We start from the raw sequence: 23,403 nt of genomic DNA, 5'->3' as shown, positions 1-23,403 counted from the left end.
AGATAGCATATCACACCCATATTCCCACTACCTAGAATTATAACTATTAACATGCATCATATATTCTTTAAGATTTTAAGTTTAAAAATGAAGTATTACAGATAAAATGAAATTCTACTTGGCATATTATTGCCAGTGTCATTCTCTTCCCAGATCTTTCTAGCAATAACCTCTATCATGAAATTATTGAGTATCTTTCTAGTCTATTTTGAATACTTTCATATGTGTGTATCCATATATAAATACAGATAGATGTCTGTATGTATGGGTTCAATTTAAAATTATACGCACAGTGTAGCATACTGCATGCAAAGTAACAATAGCAGCTTACATTTATTCTGCTATTACCGCCTGCCTGGAGCTGTACTGCTGATACAGGACCCCACCGGTTACCCAAAGCTAGCCTTTGGGTCAGGGGTTTCCTCACTATAGTCCCTTCTGTGGTTGCCAGAAAGATGTTACAGGAAAGTGGTCCCAATCCAGACCCCAAAAGAGGGTTCTTGGATCTCACACAAGAAAGGATACAGGGTGAGTCTGTAGAGTACAGGGAAAGCAAGTTTATCAGGAAAGTAAAGGAATAAAAGAATGGCTACTCCATAGGCAGAACAGCCTTGAGAGCTGCTGGCTGCCCACTTTTATGGTTATTTTTTGATGACATGCTAAATAAGGGATAGATTATTCATGCCTCCCTTTTTTAAGACCATACAGGGTAACTTCCTGACTATTGCCATGACATTTGTAAACTGTCTTGGCACTAATGGGAGTGTAGCAGTGAGGACGACCAGAGGTCACTAGGTGGCCATCTTGGTTTTGGAGAGTTTGGGTCAGCTTCTTTACTGCAACCTATTTTATCAGCAAGGTCTTTATGACCTGTATCTTGTGCTGACCTCATGTCTCTTCCTGTGTCTTACAATGCCTTAGTCATCTGGAAATGCAGCCCAAAAGGTTCCAGCCTCATTTTACCCAGCTTCTATTGAAGATGGAGTTGCTCTGGTTCACATGCTTCTGATACTGTCTCAGTCCTCTTATTGATCCTATGTAGCATGCACTATTACTGTCATGTTTTTTAGGAAATAAGGCACACAGAGAGTTCCCTTGTGCAGGGTCACACAGTTAATAAGTGATAGGGCTGAGAATTAATTCTGCAATCAGGCTTTGGAGCCTGAGCTCTTGACCATCATCACAGATGGACTATTCACTGTATCACTGCAGGATTCTTCACTCTCAGTATCATGCCTCTGATTCCTGTGATTTTTGAATTTGTAGATCTAGTTCATTCCTTCTCACTGTTATACCCTATTCTGTTGAATGAATACAGTACATAAGCAGCATTGCACATTGCATGGTGGTTAAGACCTATGAAATGGGAATAGTAGAAGTTCCTATCTCACAGAGTTGTGAAAATTAAGTTTAATTCAAATACAGTAGGTAGAACAGCACCTGGTACAGATTAAGTACCCAATAAATGTTAGTTGTTATTTGCTATTCTCATATATCACCCTGTTGAACCTATTCATTAGGTTGTCTGTAGTTTTTCTTGATTGCATATATTGCCACAGTGAAAGCTCTGTGTCTGTTTATAATTCTTTTTGGTATCTCCCTACAAGAAAACTTGATGGCTCGTAGAGTGTACATGCTTTCAGTTTTACTTGATATTGCCAAACCCAACTAGACCAATTTCTTCTCCTTAGTGCACTGTGTGGCACTTCCCATTCCCCTGCATCCTCACAAACAGTTAATATTGTCTAATTGTTTACATTTGCCAACCTGATGGGTAAGAAATACTATCATGCTGAATTAATGAATTTTTAATAAGTTGTATTGAGATAGAATTTACATATCATAAAATTCACCCTTTTAAAGTGTACAATTCCATACACATTAGTATCACTTCACTACACAGTGGTTTTTAGTATGTTCACAAGGGTCTACAACCATTACCTCTATCTGATTTTAGAGGAAATCTTTGACTGGTTAGCAATAACTCCCCATTTTCCCCAGCATGGGGAAACCCATAGTTTTGCTAACCTACTTTCTGTATGGATTTGCCTGTTCTGAACATTTCATATAAATAGAGTCATGTGTTTTTGTGATTGGCTTCTTTCACTTAGCACAATGTTTTTGAGGTACATCCATGTTGTAGCATGTATCAGCAAATTCATTCCTTTTTATGGCTCAGTAGTATTCCATTGTATGGATATACCACATTTAATTTTTCCATCAGGTGATGGAAATTTGGTTGCTTCTACTCTTGATTACTATAAATAGTGGTTCTATAAACATTCATATGCAAATTTTTATATAGACATCTTTTCAATTTTCTTAGTTATAGATATATTTATGTACCTAGCAGTAGAATTGCTGGGTCATATGGTAATTCTGTGCTTAACGTTTTGGAAAACGGCCAAACTGTTTTCCAAAGCAACTGTGTAATTCTACAATCACATCAACAGTGTATAAGGGTTCCAGTTTCTTCACATCTTCATCTCTAGTACTTGTTACTGTCTTCCTTTCTGATTCTAGCCGTCCTAGTGGATGTGAAGTGGTATCCCATTGTGGTTTTGATTTGCATTTTCTGATGACTAATGATGTTGAGCATCTTTTTACGTGCTTATTGACCATGTGTATGTCAGCTTTGGAGAAATGTCTATTCAAATCCCTTGTCCATTTTTAGAGGAGGGGGTATAATTTGTCTTCTTATTTGAATTGTAAGAGTTCTTTCTGTGTTCCAGACACAAGTTTCTATCAGGTATATGATTTAAAAATATTTTTCCCATTCTGGAGGTGGAGGTTGCAGTGAGCTGAGATCGCATCACTGCACTCCAGCCTGAGCAACAGAGCAAGACTCTGTCTCAAAAAAATATATATATATATAAAATATATATTTCTATATTATACATATATGTATTATATAATATATAAATAAATGTATTATATAATATATAAATAAATGTATTATATAATATATAAATAAATGTATTATATAATATATAATAAATGTATTATATATTATACATAATATATAATAAATGTATTATATATTATACATAATATATAATAAATGTATTATATATTATACATAATATATAATAAATGTATTATATATTATACATAATATATAATAAATGTATTATATATTATACATAATATATAATAAATGTATTATATATTATACATAATATATAATAAATGTATTATATATTATACATAATATATAATGTATTATATATTATACATAATATATAATGTATTATATATTATACATAATATATAATGTATTATATATTATACATAATATATAATTAATGTATTATATATTATACATAATATATAAATAAATGTATTATATTATACATAATATATAAATGTATTATACATAGTATATAAATGTATTATACATAATATATAAGTAAATGTATTATATATTATACGTAATATATAAGTAAATGTGTTATATGTTATACGTAATATATAAATGTGTTATGTTATACGTAATATATAAATGTGTTATGTTATACGTAATATATAAATGTGTTATGTTATACGTAATATATAAAGTGTTATATGTTATACGTAATATATAAAGTGTTATATGTTATACGTAATATATAAATGTTATGTTATACGTAATATATAAATGTGTTATATGTTATACGTAATATATAAATATAATATATAAATATACGTAATATATAAATATAATATATAAATATATTTTTTGAATGGAAAAAAACCTACAGAATGAAAAATACATATATTTATATTTTCCCATTCCGTAGGTTATCTTTTTTCCCATTCTATAGGTTATCACATCTTAATTGATGTGAATTCGTGAATTTTAGTATTTGTAGTTTCACATTTCCTCAGAACTTCATTCTTCAAAATCATCTCATTATCTGCTAAGTGGATCACAAGCCGGATAACACTGAAGTAAATAATGCTCTGTGCACATAGTACTCCATCCATCAGAAACTACCACATTGTTCACAAAAACAGGCTTCAGCTGGTGAAGAAAATTAAATTTTGATAAAGCAGAGAAGCCTTCACACCTAATTAGGATTTGAATTTAATAACAAGCATTGAAAAAACATTTCAGTATTTTCAAATTGCTGATGGATTAATTCAAAAGCATTTGGGTTTATGTTTAACCTGCCTTAACTCTTTTCTTCTTTCCTTTTCCCTCTTCCTTTCTTTTCCCTCTCTCCCCTGTCTTTTCCCTATTTCTATTTCAGATTGAAAATGGCTCAGGAATCAGTCAGCAAGTTGACTTCAGAGAAGAAAGTGGAGACAAAGAAAATCAATCCCACTGCTAGCCTGGTGAGATATATTTTTCAACATAATCTAACGATTGTCATGAAAATTGAGGTGCGCCCAGGAAGGGCTAAAGCTCAGAGATGAAACATAGTATCCAGATTCTCAGTTCCCATCCCAGAGTAGCATATGGTTAAAAAAAAAAAAAAAAAAGTATGTGTGGGTGGAGGTACAAAACATAGCTTTATATGTTTTTCCTGTAAACTCAACATAGGTCATTTCTGATAAACCAAATTTAGTCACTTACCATTTCACATCCTTCCACACCCTACCCGCAGTACAGTCACCCTTATCTCAAAGTATCTTTTTCTCAAAATGTTTAAATATATTCATTCTCTTCAGTTCCTTTTCCCCATTAAAGAAAGAGGCAGGGATTCTCCTATTTTGATAGTTGGAAAATTTGAAGTGCAGAAAGATACAGCCTACCCAGGGTCACTTAGCAAGTGGATAACAAAAGCCAGGACCAGATTCTGGGTCTCCTGACATCTCTCCCTATGCTGGAAACCAGCAGTCTCCCCAGCCTTCCTATATGTGAGATTGCGTTGTCCTCCAAAGTCCAGTTTTCAGTAGAGATCACAATGAATCTCCACCTAGGTGTTACGGACAATAGTCAGAATAGCTACATGGTTAGGATCCCAGGATGCCGAGAATGAAATGGCCTGGGTTCAGATCACAGCTCTGCCACTTAAATAGTTGTAAAACCTTAGTGAAGTTACTTTGTTTCTTTCTCTTCCATGAAAAGAACATACTACTTTTTTTTTGGGGTTATTTTGAGAAAACTGAGAAAAGACATGTAAAATGCCTAACACATAATAAGAGCTCAATAAATATTAGTTGTTTTCCTTGTTGCTGTGAATTTCAGCTGCTTTGGTTGACCCTGCAATGGGGAATGGCAATGAGTGGGAAGTGGAAGTATCACCCTCCTCTCTCGGATTTTTCAAACTCTGTCCTCTCTGGGCCCTGATGTCCAACAACTACTTACTTTATCCTTTTAGATTATTAGTACCTTTTTGCTGGATGCTTCAAATCCTTTGAAAATATAAATGGGTTCTAAGTTACAAAGTGAGATTATTTCTGTTGATTGACCATAATGTTTCTCCCAACAACCCCATGAGCAGCTAAATGAATGTTGCATGAGGTTGATGAATGAGAAATGGAGAAGTCCGGGCTATACTTTTTGGTCGGGGAAAGCCATGGTTGAGCACATGGCCCCTACCTAACCGGACATGTCCTTTGTACCCGTTTGATGGTATATTTATGACATTCATTTGTATGACTTTCAGTGGCAGTCGGCTGAACCCTGATTTTTGTCTTCTTCCTTCATGAGCCTCTCCCTCTTCCTCAGACCTTTTATTTGGGCCTCTATCCAGACTTTTACAGCCAAGCTTGTTCCCCCAAGGCAGAGAGAATGGGGTCAGCCATATAGACAAAAGGGAAACAGTGGGTTTACGACCTCCCCTGTGAGCAAGCTCCCAGTTGTGATCCTGGGCTTGTTGGGGCTGCTTATTTTATTGTCTGTGTGGGTGGGTGGGTGGAAATCAGGGAAGAGCTTGTAAACTGATTCCTGATTCAATTTCGCAAGTTAGGGATGGGGTCCAAATTTAGGATGGGTGTCGAAAAATCATCAACTTAAGTTTATATCTAGGCCAATTTAGTAATTCACTGCAACATCATATCTCATAGCTCATAAGCAGCTAAGGATCCATTCTCAAAGGCTTCTCTCTGCATCTGCTCATTCCAAAAGAGTATACTTCTCCCTTTTCCATTTTAGCCTTCTATTTACCCTCCTCCCAGAGCAGGCACACCATCCTTACCATACTGATATGTGTGCTTCCCTAGTGTCACAGATACCATGGGGGTCCATGTTTCTGTGTAGTGTGCTCCTGTGTATTCTTACGTCTTCCCAGCAGATGTCCATGTCCTTCCCTTTAGAAGGCAGTCTCTGAGGAGGAAGCTCGGAGAATGAAGAGCATAACATCCATGGCAAATCGGGAACTTCTGCCATTCTGCAGAGACTAAATCTGGTCATCTCCCATTTTGCATGGCTTTTGTTGAGTTCTGCCAAGTTGATCATTGGAAATAGTAATTTTTTTTTTCATATCTTCTTGGGCATTCTCTAATTCCATCAATGAGCCAAAGGTAGGGACGGAAGGGGTCCTTGAGTAACACTACAAAGTTAGGGTCTTTGTCACAAAAGAAGAGAACAGAAAAGACCACCCTGGCATGGTAAAGGCCCGTGTTTTAGATGGATGTAGTTGGTAGATTGGCTGGTTATTGATTTCTTGTTTGTTTTTCTGGGGAGTAAGGGTGATAGGTAGGGAGGGGCAGATAACTAAGAGCTTAGGGAAAGCAGTAGAGGTACTCTCATTTCTAGGCCATTTGGCACAATTCCGGAAACTCAGCATTCTAGACCAAAATTTGAGAAATGTATCAAAACTTGAGAAAGATGAAAGAAAATGATACATTCATTTTTTTTTCCTTAACAGAAAGAAAGACTGCGTCAGAAGGAAGCCAGTGTGACCACTAACTAAGATGAAGACACATGGAAATGATGGCACTGGAGGTGGAGGACCTTGCACGCATACTCTTTGTGACCACAGGGTTGCAGGACGTTCTTGAAAGATGTGTCACTAAATGTTTGTTTTTGCTCATCTCTTTCTGAGGTCATCTGCAGAGAGTGCCCCATGCCTTCTTTAAGAAGTCCCTCATTAAGCCGCAGGAACAATGGAAAACTATTTAAGGGAACATTGCAGAAATATTTGATGACTGTTTCTTGTGGAAGCCCAAAGTCCACTCTAAGAGCAGAAGAAATACCAAAATGTTTCCAAAATTTTTTTAAAAGCTGAGATTTCCAGCTTTATAACCAAAGCTTGATATATGTCACATTGTCACAGAAGAGAGAAAAGATCATTGAGGACAGTTGCCTTGGGAGAGTTCAAGTCTTTGTCGTTACACACTGCTGTTTTGATTATTGGTCTTAGTTTTGATCCTGTTGCAGCAAAATCCTGCAGCATCTTTCTCTCCAATAATGTTGCAACTCACCAAAACTATTCTTGAAGAGGTCCAAGAACATGTATTATCCAGACTAAAAAAATGATTTTTTGTTGTTATGGTTTACGTGATGAAAAGGAGAAAAAACAGAATCATACCTGGGTGGAGAGAGGGAGACAAATAGCCATAAACTTCATCCTGGAGAACAAGTTACCATGCAAGGAGTTGACATCAGTTGTTAAGTGAGGCCCATTCTTGTTTTTACATCGGTCCTTTGTGGTTTTTCTGGGCCAGCAGAGATTCTGCACCCCAACTCCCAGGAGAAAATGTAATACCTGAGCAAGCACAGCCTTGGGTGTGCTTGGACAAGAGACCCAGCGGCAGAGCACCTTTTACATTTTGGACCGTTCATGAATGGGCAATGTTGTGTTGATACGCAGCCGAGTTCTACGTTATGTGCTGTGACTGTGCAGCTGGACGACCCCCATCCCCAGGAGGCAGTTTCCAGACAGGAGAGCAAATGCAACTCACAGCACCTGCTCATGACCTTGGCTGATAGGCATGTGAAGTAGGATGAAGCAGGACTCTTTAATGTCAAAAAAACTGAAGGGCAGAAAAAAGGTTCCTTACATCAAAATGAAAGTAATTACATTAATAGAAAACTTCCAAGTGGAATATTGTTCACAGGCAGCTCTTTCTGACCCTGGCTCTTGAGTCACATAAGGAAACCACCTTTGACCTCTCTGACACTTTTGTCTTTAAGCCACGTCTCTGAAATCTTGTGAGGGGTGAAGAAAGAGGACTGGAGATGAATGGACAATATGATCAAAGACTCATTTTTAGGCCTTGAAGAGGCCGAGCTTTCTCCCCCCAATTGGTGGAGGACAGTCCAGAGATGAGCAGAAATCTTAAATTCCTTCCTGATCCAGCCTCCACATGTGGCCTGCCCCTTGCCCCAGCATCTTTCCAGAACCCCTGGACTTGCCAGGTGCCTGAGCATCTTCCCAGGATATGCCTGCCAGCCAGCAGCCCCTCAGGAATGCTTCTATAATAGATCCAGTAATGAAAGCAGCACCATATCCTAATCTAATGTCAGCTTCGAGAATGAAGACTGCAGTCAGGATCAAATCAAGTCACAGAAGCCATATTCATGCAGGTGCTAACCGCCTTTTCTACTGGTGCAACTGAAAGGAATATGGTAACATGGTTGGATTTTTAAAATTCACAATGAAGGAACGAGACAAGCAAAACAGAAAAGCCGAGAAGGAACATGCATGACTAAAAAGGCTTGAAGTTGCTTGTGAGCAAGAAGCTTTTTATGCTGCTTTCTTACATAGTTTCTCTTCATTTTCACTTAACTCTGAAGACAACCAAAAGAACGGATCAATTAAAAACTGATTCCACTTATAACCATTGTATGCTCCTTCTAGTGTTATCATGCACAAGAAAAGTGCCAGTTTTACCCATGCCATATAATTCAGCTCTTTTGAGTTATGTGGGGCCAGCAGAAGTCTCAATCCTTATAGGCTTGATGGTGAGAGCAGCGGGAGGTTTGAGGTGTACTCATTGCAGTCCACTTTGGTCTGTAAGTAGGATGCTTACGAGAAATCAGTGAAGGTAAGCAGGGCTGCCACTGTGGCCACGTAACCCTTCAGGAACCAGTGCTGAAGAATAATGAGTGAGAACACTTAATTTGAGAGTTAGACAAATACAGCCCACTTTGGATTTCATCCTAGTGAACAGACTAAAACTTTGCAGTAAAATACCTATTTCTACAAAGCAAGGTTTGCCTGCCTCGGTTGGGGAAACCTAGTGGTTTTGTCACACTAGTCGATGTATGATGTTAGTGTTGTAAGACACCATGGCAGAATCTTCATTATTCTCACCTATTCTGAACCCTGCATCATGTATCTGGGATGCCCCCTCCCAAGTCCACCAATGTACCACGTTGCTGACACAGCCTTCATTTTTAACTCAAATTGATGCTCAGTAAAGGTCAATGACAATTTGTTCAAGGAAGTTCATCTAAAATAATCTGGAGGCCTTGAAAATGATCCCTCTAAAATGCTGTTGAGCTTGTGTTCAGTGTAGCAGGAGGATCTGAACTTTTCCTGGAGAGGAGGTGATCGGGATGCCATTTGGCAGCTTAAGCACATCCTGCCAGCAGGCTTTAAGTGGCTGTTCTAGGCATAGCCCTCCCTGAACTAGAAAGGAGAGTAACCAGTTTGCTATGCTGCATCTAACCAGACACACCTGACTTAGTAGTAACTCTAAGAACCCTTAACTTACAAACAACTTTGTCTCCTCTTAGACAATATTCATTAAATCTGAGGACACAGTTTGACAGTAGTTCAGATTCTTGCATGAGCAATTGACAGCATCAGAGCACACAATATCATAAGTTACATAAATTACACAAAGTACATCATAAATTACACTACAGACACGTTAGGTAAAAAGCATCAGGCCCGGGCCGGGCGTGGTGGCTCATGCCTATAATCCCAGCACTTTGGGAGGCCAAGCGGGGGCGGATCACGAGGTCAGGAGATTGAGACCATCCTGGCTAACACGGTGAAACCCCATCTCTACTAAAAATACAAAAAATTAGCCGGGCGTGGTGGTGGGCGCCTGTAGTCCCAGCTACTCGGGAGGCTGAGGCAGGAGAATGGCGTGAACCCAGGAGGTGGAGCTTGCAGCTAGCCGAGATAGCACCACTGCACTCCAGCCTGGGCGACAGTGAGACTCCGTTTCAAAAAAAAAAGCATCAGGCCCATGAAGTATCAAAAACCAGGTTAGGAGGTGTGCTGTATGGCTTTTATCTCAATAAGTGGCAGCTTACTGGGGAAAAAGAAATAAGAAAAAGTGTGGCCAAGCAGAAGTGGATGTTTATGATGACGGTGGGGGCCCAGAGGTCATAGGTGATGGTCCTACTGCCCAACAGTTGCCTTTTGAATCCTTATGTTGATGATGGTGTCTTTCTACACACTCACTGCAACTACTCAGGAATTATAAAGATTTTCTGAAATCTGAGAAGTGGAATAAGGAAACCCAGTGGAGCTATTACACTTTTAAATGTTCTAGCCAAAACAAATTGCCAGTATGGTTGAGGAATTGAATATCAGATGGCATGCAGTCTCCCCTCCCCTCCCCTATCAAGGACAGTAGAAGCTGCAAACCTCTTCTCAGCCTCCTTCAGGCACCTCCTGTTTTCATAAGCACCATGAAGAATGGTGTTTCCTAAATGAAAAGTTCAGATACTGCTGGTAAAGAAACTGGAAAAACTGAAGGAAGGAATAAAATATGTTGGTGGTATTAACACCTCCAGTAAGATAAGTCATTGGTACGGTTTTTCTAAGGGCCGCAGTGAGATGTAGCAGAAGAAATATGTTTATTTTGGGCAAAGATTTGCTTATTGGCCTGGGATTGCACATTTTCTCTATGATGTTTGCAACAGAGAAATTTTCATTTTAATGATACTCTTCCTTTCTTGAAAGTTACATGTCCTCATTTCTGTTTCTGCTTCTCCCTTGGCCAGTGTCATTGATGCAGATCATTGCATACAACAGCACAGCAAATTGCGCCAAGTCAGTGTGTGAATGGGAATTAGCAATGCACGCTTGCAGGCTCTTTTTCCAGGAACCAGGCTGTAACATTGACCGGGGAACCTCTTCATTCCCTGACATACTAAATTGGTCAATTTTGTAGTACTCATCTCCATCCACAAAAACAACAAAGATAAAATCAATTTGGAGCTTTATATGACAAAAAGGAAGAAGTCCAAAAATATATAGCCTTCCCCCCTCCCACATATCTGATCCAAATATTAAATATCTGATTTTATAAAACAGTTTAAATTGTCTTTTTAAATTGCTAACAAGCATCAGTTATATTTGAGCTTCATTTTTCTTTTATCCTGTCTGTCCTAATAAAAACAAAAATGGCCAAAAAGTGGAGAGGAAAGAAAAAGCTTCCACTTTTTAAAATTTGTTTTGTATTAGTTATTTTACCTTTAGGGACCCTACAACTGAAGAGAGTGGAGAGAATAAAGAAGTGAACTTTCATTCATGTCTGCTACTTTGACCTCATAAAGAAATCTGCAACACAGATGAAACCAGTCTGTGTGGCCAAGCTGATGGGATTTGAAAAGAGTGGATAATTTTTAGCCTTTCCAAAATGCAAATAACTTGGATATATTTCCATTTTCCAGCTATAGAGAGAAACAATCCAGCTGCCTGGAAACTGTTATTAGTATAGAAGTGGCTTAAAGAAAAGCATCTTCAAATACTTGACTTAGCATATCTTTCTTCTTTAGACTTACATAATGATATTCATCTCTCCATTAGCAATTGAATCCAGGCATAACCGGGCTCAGTTACACAGCTTGTCTGTGACTGGGAAGCCCATTTTGTGTCATTTCTGCACACCTGTCCGCTGTTGACACCTTATTAGAGGCACTGCATTTTGGTTTCACAATTCTTCATCTCCCTTCCCAAGGAATGGGCAATCTACTGAACTTCCAGATCAATGCTTTGTTGGAAAGTGATGAATTTAAGAGAGTTTTAACATGTCAAATTTGAAGCCAATTCAGTATCCTTATTTGTTCCAAGACTCTTAACCAATACTGTGATATAAAGTTAGGATTTGGGAAACGTGTAGTTAACAACTTGGAAACATGAAGATATTAAAATGGCAGCTGGCTAACTGTCTCTTAAGCCACTATGCAATTTCTACCAATGGAGAGATTAGGGAAGCAAATTAAGCCTCATTCAGTAGGTCTGCTGTCTGGTGGAACTTACGGAACTCATTTCCTCCTCTATCCCCAGCCCTTCTCCTAACTATGGTGATAACCAGGGCCATAGAAGACCTTTTCTCTCTTACCTTTCTCTGATAGGATCGTGTCCTTCAGTCAAGAGCTCATGTGAACTCCAGACTTTATATTACATCTCTGAAGTTCTTGATGTGGGGAAGATTGACTTTTATTCCATTTTTATATGAAGGTGTTAGATATAGCCATCAATTTATTTTTCTACATTCCCTCTACGCTTATGTAATTTTCTATTTTTAAATCTTCTCTTAAATATACTGAGAATCTCTAGTCTCCTTTTCTAAAGGCTGATCCAACTACACTTGTGGGCTATTTTTCCAAGCTTTGTGTGAAACTTGATGACATTGGGCCAGCAAAATGCAAAGAAGACTATAGTTTCAGGCAGAAAATCACGTCCAAAGAATTTGGCATGGATTAAACAACCTCTACCACACTATAGCTCTCACATAGGCTGAACATTTTCCTAAATTCTACCTGTGCAGACACTGAGGGGCTCTCTACCTTTGAAACTATGAGAACGTCTTAAATTAATATGAATATTTCTCTCCATGTATAGTGTGAGCTGCCAATGCATTATCTTAATACATCAAGAAGGAAATCAGATTTCAGGCACACATTAGCAATTGTTTGTTAATGTCCTTGGCAAACGTGTACCTGCTTTCCTTCATTGTTCTCTTCAGGGGCTTTCTTCCACTTTCCTCTTATGAAACGAATGTGTTTTTGACTGTTAACTGGGTTCGCTTTCCAGATCTGTCTTTCCCAAATGAAAGGTTAGTCCCATAGACCACTGGCTATTCAGGGAAATTACTCTCTACCTCCCCATGACATGGATGATAAGTGTTGAGGGATGAACACTCTGGAAACTCTTAGCATGGATTTTGAATTCCAGATTTCTTTATAGGAGATGTATAAAAAGGAGTTTATAGCATACAAAAATTATACTGCTCTTCCCAGTAAGGGACTAAAAGGACATTTGAAATCTTTACATTTTAGATGTTTTTGTGAATTATAAATATCTCCTTTTTCCTCGCTTCATGCTAACTTGTCTCTAGATAAAATCTTATTTCTTCATACATTGGACCACAAGGCATAAAGAAGGTAGCTCAGCGCCACTGAGATTGTGTTCTGCATAATATTTGGAAGGCTTCCATTTCCATTGAAAACAAATCCATGAGTGAGAGGGAAAGTCTAGTATCAATTCTTCTGTTTGCTCGCAATGACACAAATAGGTTTTGGGGATCTACCTAAGGGATAGGTCTACTCCAAAATTATTAAATTTATAATTGTGCAATTCTGTAATTTCCCAAGGCATAAGTAATATGACCCTACTGTCAGCTAGATGTCTTATCTTCAAAGAGAGTATGCATTAATAAAAAGAACTTCCCTTTAAAGAACCAATCTAAAATACTAAAAAGGCAGAAACTTTTAAAATTAGAAATTGGATAATTTTTAAGAATCTTTAGAGAAAACATTGGTTTATCATAGTCTTTTTCTTTCATTGAGTTTTCATTTAGACTAGCATGGCAAGCAGGGTGGCCTTGGACTTTGATTTAGGGGATCGTGCTTTGGCCTGGAAAATAAGCACTGGCCTGCATGCCTAGAACCTGAGTGAAGGCAGTCAACATCCTAGTATGAATCAGACCTAGCAGAAATGTAAATTATTTCAAGTACTTCAGGGTTTAGTTTTCTTAGTGACACCCTGGACCCTGGATGCTGCTTTCTAAAGTGCACCTGATCCATGCAGTTTTATGTCTTCATATAACTGGTATCTTGTGAGTTTGCAAGCAATGGGATGAGCAAGAAAAAAAGGACGCATGGAGGAGAAAAATTTGAACGAGGCTAGTGCAATGTTTTGCTGATAGATTACATTGTTAGGGAGCTGGTGATTTTTTGCCATGGTCGTATCGTGGACAGCTTTTCCGTGGAAATTCAAGGCATCTGTATTAGGCAAATGTGAGTGCCCTTGATCTTGTATTGATCAGTGCCAATGTACTGGGAAAGCAGGTACCCCAGTGAAACTGGTCTGTGCTTGGTTTAACAGCTCCAACAATTTCAGATCCATGGGGCTGCTTGACCATAGACCCTGTTTACTCCATGCCTGTTCAAAAGTCATTTTGACTTCTAGCTTTGTTTCACTTTCTTCTTTCAATACTTCTGTTTCCTCGTCCTTTTCCTTCATATTCCATGGCTATTTCTTTCCTACTTTACAGTTTCCCCCAGACCCAGATTTTTTCACACCTCTGCATCATAGACAACTGAGTAGCTCCCTTGGCCCCTCCTCCATCCTCTCACACCCTGTGCTCCGTTCCTCAGCCGTTTGGACAGGGAGCTCCGCTGTCACCAAGGAGCCCATGTGAGACACACTGCTGTGACTGCCTCTTGTTAATGTCAGCATCACCTCATCACTTAAGCAAAAAGGAAAATCCATAAAAGAGATGGAAAATACGTCTCTTTTTATTTTATTTTAAGAAGATTGGGCGGGGTGGGGGGGGGGTTCTTATTCTAGGCCTTCTCAATTTCTCATAGATTTTACCTTAAACTAATTAAGGCCATTCTCTTGATAAATTTGTACATCAGACCGGGTCACCAGCTATGATGCAGAACGCCAGATTTTTGAATCTCAAGTAACTTTCTGTGGTGCTGGACAAATTGACTTAATTCTGTGCAGGCAAACACTTTGAATCATAAGGATTTTTATTGCCGCTCCATTCTTACTACTATTCATGATTCAAACATCTACCCCTGTTCTGAATCAGGATGTTGACACTTCTTGGTTATTTTCAGATGAACAGTAACTGCTACACTCTTGAAAGCACTTAAAAGTGCAAGCATGTCCTAAATAGCCATTTAACCTGGTAAAACATAGGCTTTTCTGTTTAATTAAGTATTAGACCAGTCTGTAGATATAATCTGAAAAGATTGTAGGCAGTAATGAAGACAGTTGGGGAAAGGAGAAGGCCCTTTAAAGACATGAAACCTTACACGCTCTTGGGATATTTTTAAGCATAATAAGCTCATTGGATTCAGGTATTTTTCCCTTTGCATTTTTAAAAATACGTATTTCTAATTTGTTTGCATATTTAATTTTGTCAAAGCTGAGAAATGCTCATGAGTTGAATTTATAAATGTCATTTGCAACCAAATGAAGTATTTATTTTTAAAAAGAGAGTGAAGGAACCAACACTGATTTGTACATAATAAAAATGTGTGTATTATATATATATATTTTTTCCTCCTTGACAGTACTTGGTCACAATATCAAGTGTATTTTTGTACATAATATATATTGATTAGAAAAACGTCAATTGTCTATTCAAAAAATTCTATCTCTGTGATAGATTATATTTATCCTAATCTGTTGATACCTCTGTTAATTTGTTTTAAGAGAATTATATTTTTTGGAATTTACAGAGAATTGCATTCATGGCTTTCAATTGTAAATATGCTAAGGGTATTTTAATAAATCTTGGTTTCATGTCCATCTGGTGTGCAATGCAGATTTGTTTTCAGGAGGCATGTAAAGCAATATCCCAGTAGTACTGTAATGTGGAGAACACCAGTCATTTCTAACTTGCGTTACCACTCGGGTACACTATTCTGAGCTGCAAGAGCTGAGTCTGAGGAAGTCTATCGTTGGTATTTCCGTTTTTCTCCCATTTGTCCCCTATCAACTGTGGGCAACTTGGCCAGACATTCAAGGCTAACAACCAACAGACAAAACCAGCCAGGCATTGTCTCAACAAGGCTTACCCAAAAGCAACACTTCCTGAATATACATTGCCCAAGGGACGGGGCACAAAGAGATTGGTGACTTCAGGCTATAGGTTGAAAATAATAAACTGGAGAAACAGAATAGAAACATAATTGTATGGATTCTTTTACTAAGCACAAGGTACACATTCTTTTCAAGGAATAATATGAAGCATGCAGGTATTTTATAAACATAAAACACTTTAAGCAAAACAGTCTTCTATTTAAATACAAATGTAATTGTGCTTTTTAGTTAATTCATTTCTTTGGTGTTCCTGAATGCCGTACGCTACAGTTCTAGATATTTGCTGCAATATACCCTATTATGTATAGCAATGTTTAATGAACATACATAGTTATTATCTAGGAAGACATTTCACCACTACAAAATCTTCTAAATCATAGTCAGTGAGCTGCAAAAATCTTTGGACATTGGAGAAAATATCTCAGTAAAACTTCTGAAGTTCAAGGGAATTGCTAAAAATCACACTTACTGTTGGTGAACACTTCAAGACTAGAACCCAGATTTCTTGACACTAAGGCCAAAGCCCTTCCAACTGATGGATTCATTCATCAAATTAGACCGCTCTCTCCTTCAAAATACTCTATCATGGAGAAATATTCTAGAACTATTCTTTGAAAAGAAGAATCCAAAGGCCGCTAACATTTTTGAGAAACATTATTAGGTTTGTGTTCTGAATTACAACACCTATGTGAGGGTAGAGGCCTGGATGTCATAAGGACCCAGGAAAAAATACCAGCACACCATAGGAAGAATCTCATCTCTGGTCTAACCAAGATTTACCCTCCCTTGCTTAGCTAATGAGTATACATCTTTGCCTAGTCTTTAAATAGTCTATGAAGCTGATGGTCCAACTAACATCTGTTTTAGTACGTTTTGTGTTCCTGTAACAGAATACCTGAGAATGGGCAATTTATAAACAGAAATGCATTGTCTAACAATTCTAGAGTCTGAGAAGTCCAATATCATGGTGCCAGCATCTGGCAAGGACCTTCTTGGTGCATCATCAGACGGCAGAAGTCAGGCCACAGAGGCAAGGGGGGGCCTAGCTTTTTTCATACAGCATTAATCCCACCCATCAAAGTGGAGCCCTCATAGCCTCATCACCTCTTAAAGGTCCCATATCTTAATACTGTTACAACGGCAATTAAACTTTAACATGAGTTTTAGAAGGGACAAACATTCAAACCATAGCACAGGTTATAAATCCCTGAGGCTAAATATTCTCCCCCAGATCGGCTGCCCACTTTCACCTTGCTGTGATTGTCATTATGGAAATAAAAGACTTTAAAGTTCTCCACTGGCCCTTCATGCACATTAGATGCCACTGAATCCAAATCTTCTGAAGGTAATGTTTGCTTCATGCCCATCATTGTGCAATGATAAATTGTAGGAGAAAATATATTAGTTATTAATTGCTGTATAACAAAATACCCCAAAATTTAGTGTATTAAAGCAACAATATTACTTCTCTTGGCTTTTGTTGATCAAGAATTTGAGAAAGGCTCAGCTGGGCTGTTATCACTTGGAGTGTCTCATAAGGTTGTAGTGATATGTTCATTAACATATCTGTCATCTAAAAAATTATTAATATGAGCCTGTCATCATCTGAAAACTGTATGGCTTGAGTGGGACTGGAAGATGCCCATTCTAGTTAGCTGACTCAGCTGGCAAGTTGGTGCTGGCTCTAAGCTGGAAGCCTCAGTTCCTCTCCACATGGGCGTCTTGAGTGGTCCAAAGTGAAACATGTAATGTGCTTTCTGACCAAAGCTCAGAAGCTACACCCAGTCACTTTCATATTGAGCTATTTATAAATGATCTGTGCAGACTGGGGAAGTGGGGAACTAGACTCTGCCTCTTGATGGAAGAATGTCAATGCCACATTGTAAGAGCATGTAAGATGGGATGTATATTGGTGAGACCATCTTTGGAAAATACAATCTGTTACAGCAGCTTGCCCTGTTTTTTCTCTCTAGTCTTTCTCCTCCTTCCCTTGTTCTAATTTTTGTCCTAAATCTAGGTTTTAGATTTCTTTTTCAAATTTTTTCCTACTTTTCCCCAAATCTTCCCTCCCTCAATCTGCATATTGGAGCACAGACATGTTTGTCTTGCCTCTCTGGAATAGAGGCACTCTTTTTTTTTTTTTTTTTTTTTTGAGACAGAGTCTCGCTCTGTCTCCCAGGCTGGAGTGCAGTGGCGCGATCTCGGCCCACTGCAAGCTCCGCCTCCCGGGTTCACGCCATTCTCCTGCCTCAACCTCCTGAGTAGCTGGGACTACAGGCGCCCGCCACCACGCCCAGCTAATTTTTTCTATTTTTTAGTGGAGACGGGGTTTCATCATGTTAGCCAGGATGGTCTCGATCTCCTGACTTCGTGATCTGCCTGCCTCAGCCTCCAAAAGGGCTGGGATTACAGGTGTGAACCACCACGCCTGGCCTGGAACGGCTGTATTTACCCAATATCTGTACCCCCATTGTATCTAGGATGTAACTAGCTTGCTTTTGATTTTACAGGCTCATAAGCAGAATAGACTTGCCTTGTCTCAGATGAGACTTTGGACTGTGGACTTTTGGATTAATGCCGAAATGAGTTAAGACTTTGGGGGACTGTTGGGAGGGCATGACTGGTTTTTAAATGTGAGGACATGAGATTTGGAGGGGCCAGGAGTGGAATAATATGGTTTGGCTGCGTCTCCACCCAAATCTCAACTTGAATTATGTCTCCCAGAATTCACACGTGTTGTGGGAGGGACCCAGGGAGAGGTAACTGAATCACGGGGGCCGGTCTTTCCCGTGCTATTCTCATGATAGTGAGTAAGTCTCACGAAATCTGGTGGGTTTATCAGGGGTTTCTGCTTTTGGATCTTCCTCCTTTTTCTCTTGCTGCCACCATGTAAACAGTGCCTTTCACCTCCCGCCGTGATTCTGAGGCCGCACCAGCCATGTGGAAATGTAAGGTATGTCTCAGTCTCAGGTATGTCTTTATCAGCAGCGTGAAAATGGGCTAATACAGTAGGTCTTGCAAGGAAGAGCCTCTGAGGTGGCAAAGCCTTCAGTGGTAGATACCAAGTTTTTATTACAAGTGACTGCAAGACTGTGTCAGTTAAGATGGCTGTTTGAAGCTCCTGAAGGCTTAATTTTTTTTATGGTCACAGAGTCCTCTGGTGAAAACTGATAGTGGAAGAGTGTGCTTGTTTGTGAACTTATCTGGTTGGATGCAATCTTCATTTCTTTATATGTTTATTAAACAAAACATGTTATCCTTATTGGCAAAGTGCCCTATGAAATATAAAGTAAAGTCTTTTTCTAAGATGGAGTTAGTTATGTCCGAGGTGCTCTACACAAACAGCCAATACTGTTTTTCCTGGGACCATCCCCTTTTGAACTTCACAATTGGAAATTACTGTCTCATTTCCTGAACCCAAACCTTGCCACTCGATTACTTAGTCTGCATGTGAGTTGATTCATTCTGGCCTTTCCCGTTCCTCTAGGGGTGAGATATTCTTTCAGTTCTAGTTAGCCCACAACAGTACTTTATTTATTCACTTGGACTTTTTGCATTTCAATTTCCACATCTGTTTAGACCAGAAGATTTTTAAGCTCTGTAAGCAGCTATTGTAGAAAGCACCGTATGAGCTCCTGTCTTCAAGACCTACAATATACCAAAGAGGAAACACACCACTAATAAAAACGAATGGGCATTTACACTAAACACATTCTATTTGGGAAGAGGCCATTGACACTTAGAGCTGAAGACTGGCTCTTTAGACATTTCTCTTGAAGAACGGCAAAAAAGAGAAAGCCTATTCCAAGCAGCATAATGACCCATGTGGGAAGCAGACAGTAAATACGGAAGCCCTATAACCACATTTGCAGATAAATCAAAGGATATGGCAGGGTGTTGTCCAGGCAGCAGTAATGTGTGTATGTAGATTCATCCTATGTTGAGGCATGGTAGGTAATATGGGTCTCCTCACTGAGAGCAACAAGAAAGACAATTTTTAAAAATTTACTTGAAAGACTTTACAAAGTAAAAATTACTGAACTAAGATTTGAGAGAAGATCAAAGAGATAAAGATGACATTTGGCATTGCTTTCCACCCAGGGATTCTAAAAAAGATTACTGAGCGGCTGGGAAACTTTGATGTGTTAGAGGTACAAAAGTGAGATCAGGCACCATTATGTTTAAACCTGATAAAATCACCTTGTTTTGGGTTAAGGGAGTGGTTCTCAAGTACCAGGGACATTTGGCAATGTCTAGAGACATCTTTGATAGTCAGGACTGGGAAGGGATGCTGTTAGCATCTAGTGGGGAGAGGCCAGGGAAACTCCTAAACTTCCTACAAGGCATAGGACATCCCTTCCACAATAAACAATTATCAGACAGAAATTTCAATAGTCCTGAAATAAGGCGATACCAGATGGCTAGTGCTCTCAAGTGCCTGGAACAACAGCAGCACAATCCTTTCTGGAGGTATATAATGTCATCCTACATCTGTACAAACAAACCAATTTTTCAAATAAAATTTCTGTCACACAAGGATAAACCAGCATACAAGGAAACAACAATCATGAATGAGAATTAGTAGGAAACATGCTCAATAGAACAAAACATGCACAGGCTTGACATATTGAAGCTATCAGCTTGCAATGTTCAGGGAGAAAAAATGAAAAGATTGGAAATTTTGGCAAAGAACTGAAAACCATGAAAAGATTACAGGGCAAATTTGGGAGAAAGAAAAATTCTAGAACCAAAAAAATGCAGTAATCCCAATTAAGAATGCCCAGGATGGGCCAGGCACGGTGGCTCACGCCTGTAATTCCAGCACTTTGGGAGGCCGAGGCGGGCGGATCACGAGGTCAGGAGATCGAGACCATCCTGGCTAACACGGTGAAACCCCATCTCTACTAAAAATACAAAAAAATTAGCCGGGCGTGTTGGCAGGCATCTGTAATCCCAGCTGTTGGGGAGGCTGAGGCAGGAGAATGGCATGAACCCAGGAGGCAGAGCTTGCAGTGAGCCGAGATTGCGCCACTGCGCTCCAGACTGGGTGACAGAGCGAGACTCCATCTCAAAAAAAAAAAAAAAATGCCCAGGATAGGTGTTACAGCAAATTAGAAATAAAGTAATAGAGAATTGGTAAACTGAAAAGCAGGTCTGAAGAAACAATCTAAAATGAAACTCAAAAGAGATGAAACATTGAACAGAAGGTAAGAAATGTAGAGGATACAGTGAGAACAGAAGTAGTAAAGCTATATTAGCAGGGTTGATGGCAAAATGTTCCAAAACTAAAGCAAAGCATCAGCCAACAGATTCAGGAAGCTGCCGGAAACCCAAGCAGTATAAAGGAAAAGAAATTCACTCCTAGATGCATCTTAATTAAACTTCAGGAAAACAGAAACAAAAATAAAATCTTAAAGGCATCCAGGGAAAAAAAGACATTAAAATCAAAGAGTTGTTATACAGGTTGAGCATCCCTAATCTGAAATGCTCCAAAATCTGAAACTTTTGATCACTGATATGATGTTATATGTGGAAAATTCCACACCACCTCATGTGATGGGTTGTAGTCAAAATGCAGACGCACAACCTCAGTTTATTCAGGATTTCCAAGGGAAAACAGACCCTCCAGCCATTTAAAAATAGCCATGCAGCAGAATGCCTCCTCATTCCTGGAGGACCCACTTCCTCGTCTCTCAACTGCTTCTAATGTTTCTTCTCATCTAGAAAGGTAAAATTCAGTGTATAGTAACCTTTTCATCGAAACACACATCAAAAGTAGAGATTGAAAACTTGCCGTTCTTTGTGGTTGCTATTGTTTAAAAACTGATACAGGTATTCTGGTGACGCTACTGTGCTGCTTAGTTACCCTGAACATTATTTTTTCACTGGATTCATGGTACCTCCTAGTTTTTACTGTTGGGTACTTGTGTGAGTAAGTGTAAGAAAATGATTGCTTCTCAGTTGCATATAAATTCAGTCAGTAAAGATGGTGATGCCAAACAATGACAGATTGTCCATACAGGTGGCTGAAATAATGGCACCTGTGCTTTCTGATGGTTCAGTGTAAATAAACTTTGTTTCATGCACAAAATTATTAAAATATATACAATTACCTTCAGGCTATGTGTTTAAGGTATATATAAAACAAATGAATTTCACATTTAGACTTGGGTCTCATCCCCAAGATATCTCATTATATATGTGCAAATATTCCAAAATCCAAAAACATTTGAAATCTGAAAAACTTGTAGTCCCAAGTATTTTGGATAAGAAAAACTCAACTTATAGTAGGATGGTAGATTTAAACTCATATTTGTAATTATGTTAAAAGTAAATAAATTATATACCCCAATTAAAAGACAAATTCTGTGAGAATGGATTTCTTGGGAAGACCAAAAATCTTTACAGCTACTGATGGGATATACAAAGATTCAGAAAGGGTGAGAGTGAAAGGATAAAAAGTGTATAAATATACCATTTAAAGTTACAAAAACTAGATCATTAGCTGATTTCTCAAGTGAAAGCATGAAATTCAGAAGATAATTATATGATTTATTCAGTGTTCAAATGACACACACACAAAAGAGAAAATTTGTCACCTGAAGCCCTGCCCTAAATTGATATAGCTACATTAATATTCACTAAAGTATACTTTAAGAAAAAAAGCATTACATTAATAGGAACACTTCACATTAAGAAAAGGCTTCACTTACTCGGAAGATAAAACAATTTCATTTTTTATTTATGTAATGGCATAGTCTCTGAATATTTAATAGAAAAATAGAATTATAAGGAGAAACAGAAAAAGCCACCCAACACTGTGGGAGTAACTGACAGGTCACACGGAGAGAAATTAGAAGGAAGTAGGATCATGAACACCATGATTAATAAATCGACCTAATCTACATATATAGAACACAACACTCAACAACTCTTTAAGCACATACAAATGTTTACAAAAATTGACTATGTGTTAGATCGTAAGGCAAGTCTCAACGAATTTAAAATAACTGAAACTATAAAATATGTTCTGTGAAAGCAAAGCAATTAAAATGGAGATAAATAGCTTTTTAAACTAGAAAATTTCTACATTTATAAACAGTAAGAAACGTTCTTCTAAATGACCAGTGGGTAAAAAGAAATCGCAATGAAAATTTAAAAATATTTTGAGCTGAGAGATAATATTTTTCGTGGAAAAACTTGCGTAATAGAGCAAAATCAGTGTTTAGCAGGGAAGTTATAATCTTAAGTGTATAATTACAAAACAAGACAAAATATTAATCTCAAGAAATTAGGCATGCTATAACAAAACTACCTTAGGGGGAAAAAAGAAATTAGACAAATAACAACATGTAGAATCAAAAGAAAGGGAAGAATGAAATAATTAAAGTAGAAAACAGAATTAACACCAAAAGATGATTTTTTAAAGTCTAATAAAGTTTTTAAACCGTTGGCAAGACTAAGTCAAATGAGAGCATGAGAACGAATATCAGAAAGCAGG

General features: G+C 38.3%; 1 protein-coding gene across 10 annotated transcripts in view, besides 1 other annotated feature; it reads left to right on the top strand.

The window, feature by feature from the left end:
- FMN1 (formin 1) overlaps positions 1-15,608 on the top strand; it is a 429,171-nt gene extending 413,563 nt beyond the window's left edge. For all 10 annotated transcript variants that reach the window (XM_011521509.4, NM_001277313.2, XM_011521504.4 and 7 more), the window contains 2 exons: positions 4,233-4,317; positions 6,798-15,608. In XM_011521509.4, coding sequence (XP_011519811.1) covers positions 4,233-4,317; positions 6,798-6,842 — 130 coding nt within the window. In that variant the 3' untranslated portion in view covers positions 6,843-15,608. The remainder of the gene's footprint in view (positions 1-4,232; positions 4,318-6,797) is intronic.
- Positions 6,385-7,584: an enhancer, noted in NCBI's record as "P300/CBP strongly-dependent group 1 enhancer chr15:33065769-33066968 (GRCh37/hg19 assembly coordinates)". NCBI's record gives its function as "activates an origin of replication core promoter dependent on BRD2, BRD4, P300/CBP, MED14 and CDK7 cofactors, with strong dependence on P300/CBP, by STARR-seq in HCT116 cells {active_cell/tissue: HCT116}" and the evidence as "EXISTENCE:reporter gene assay evidence [ECO:0000049][PMID:35650434]".

This window comes from Homo sapiens, chromosome 15 (assembly GCF_000001405.40).
Source record: "Homo sapiens chromosome 15, GRCh38.p14 Primary Assembly".
Lineage (NCBI taxonomy): Eukaryota > Metazoa > Chordata > Mammalia > Primates > Hominidae > Homo > Homo sapiens.
Note: the sequence above shows the minus strand (reverse complement) of the source record. Positions and strands in the feature narration are given on the sequence as shown.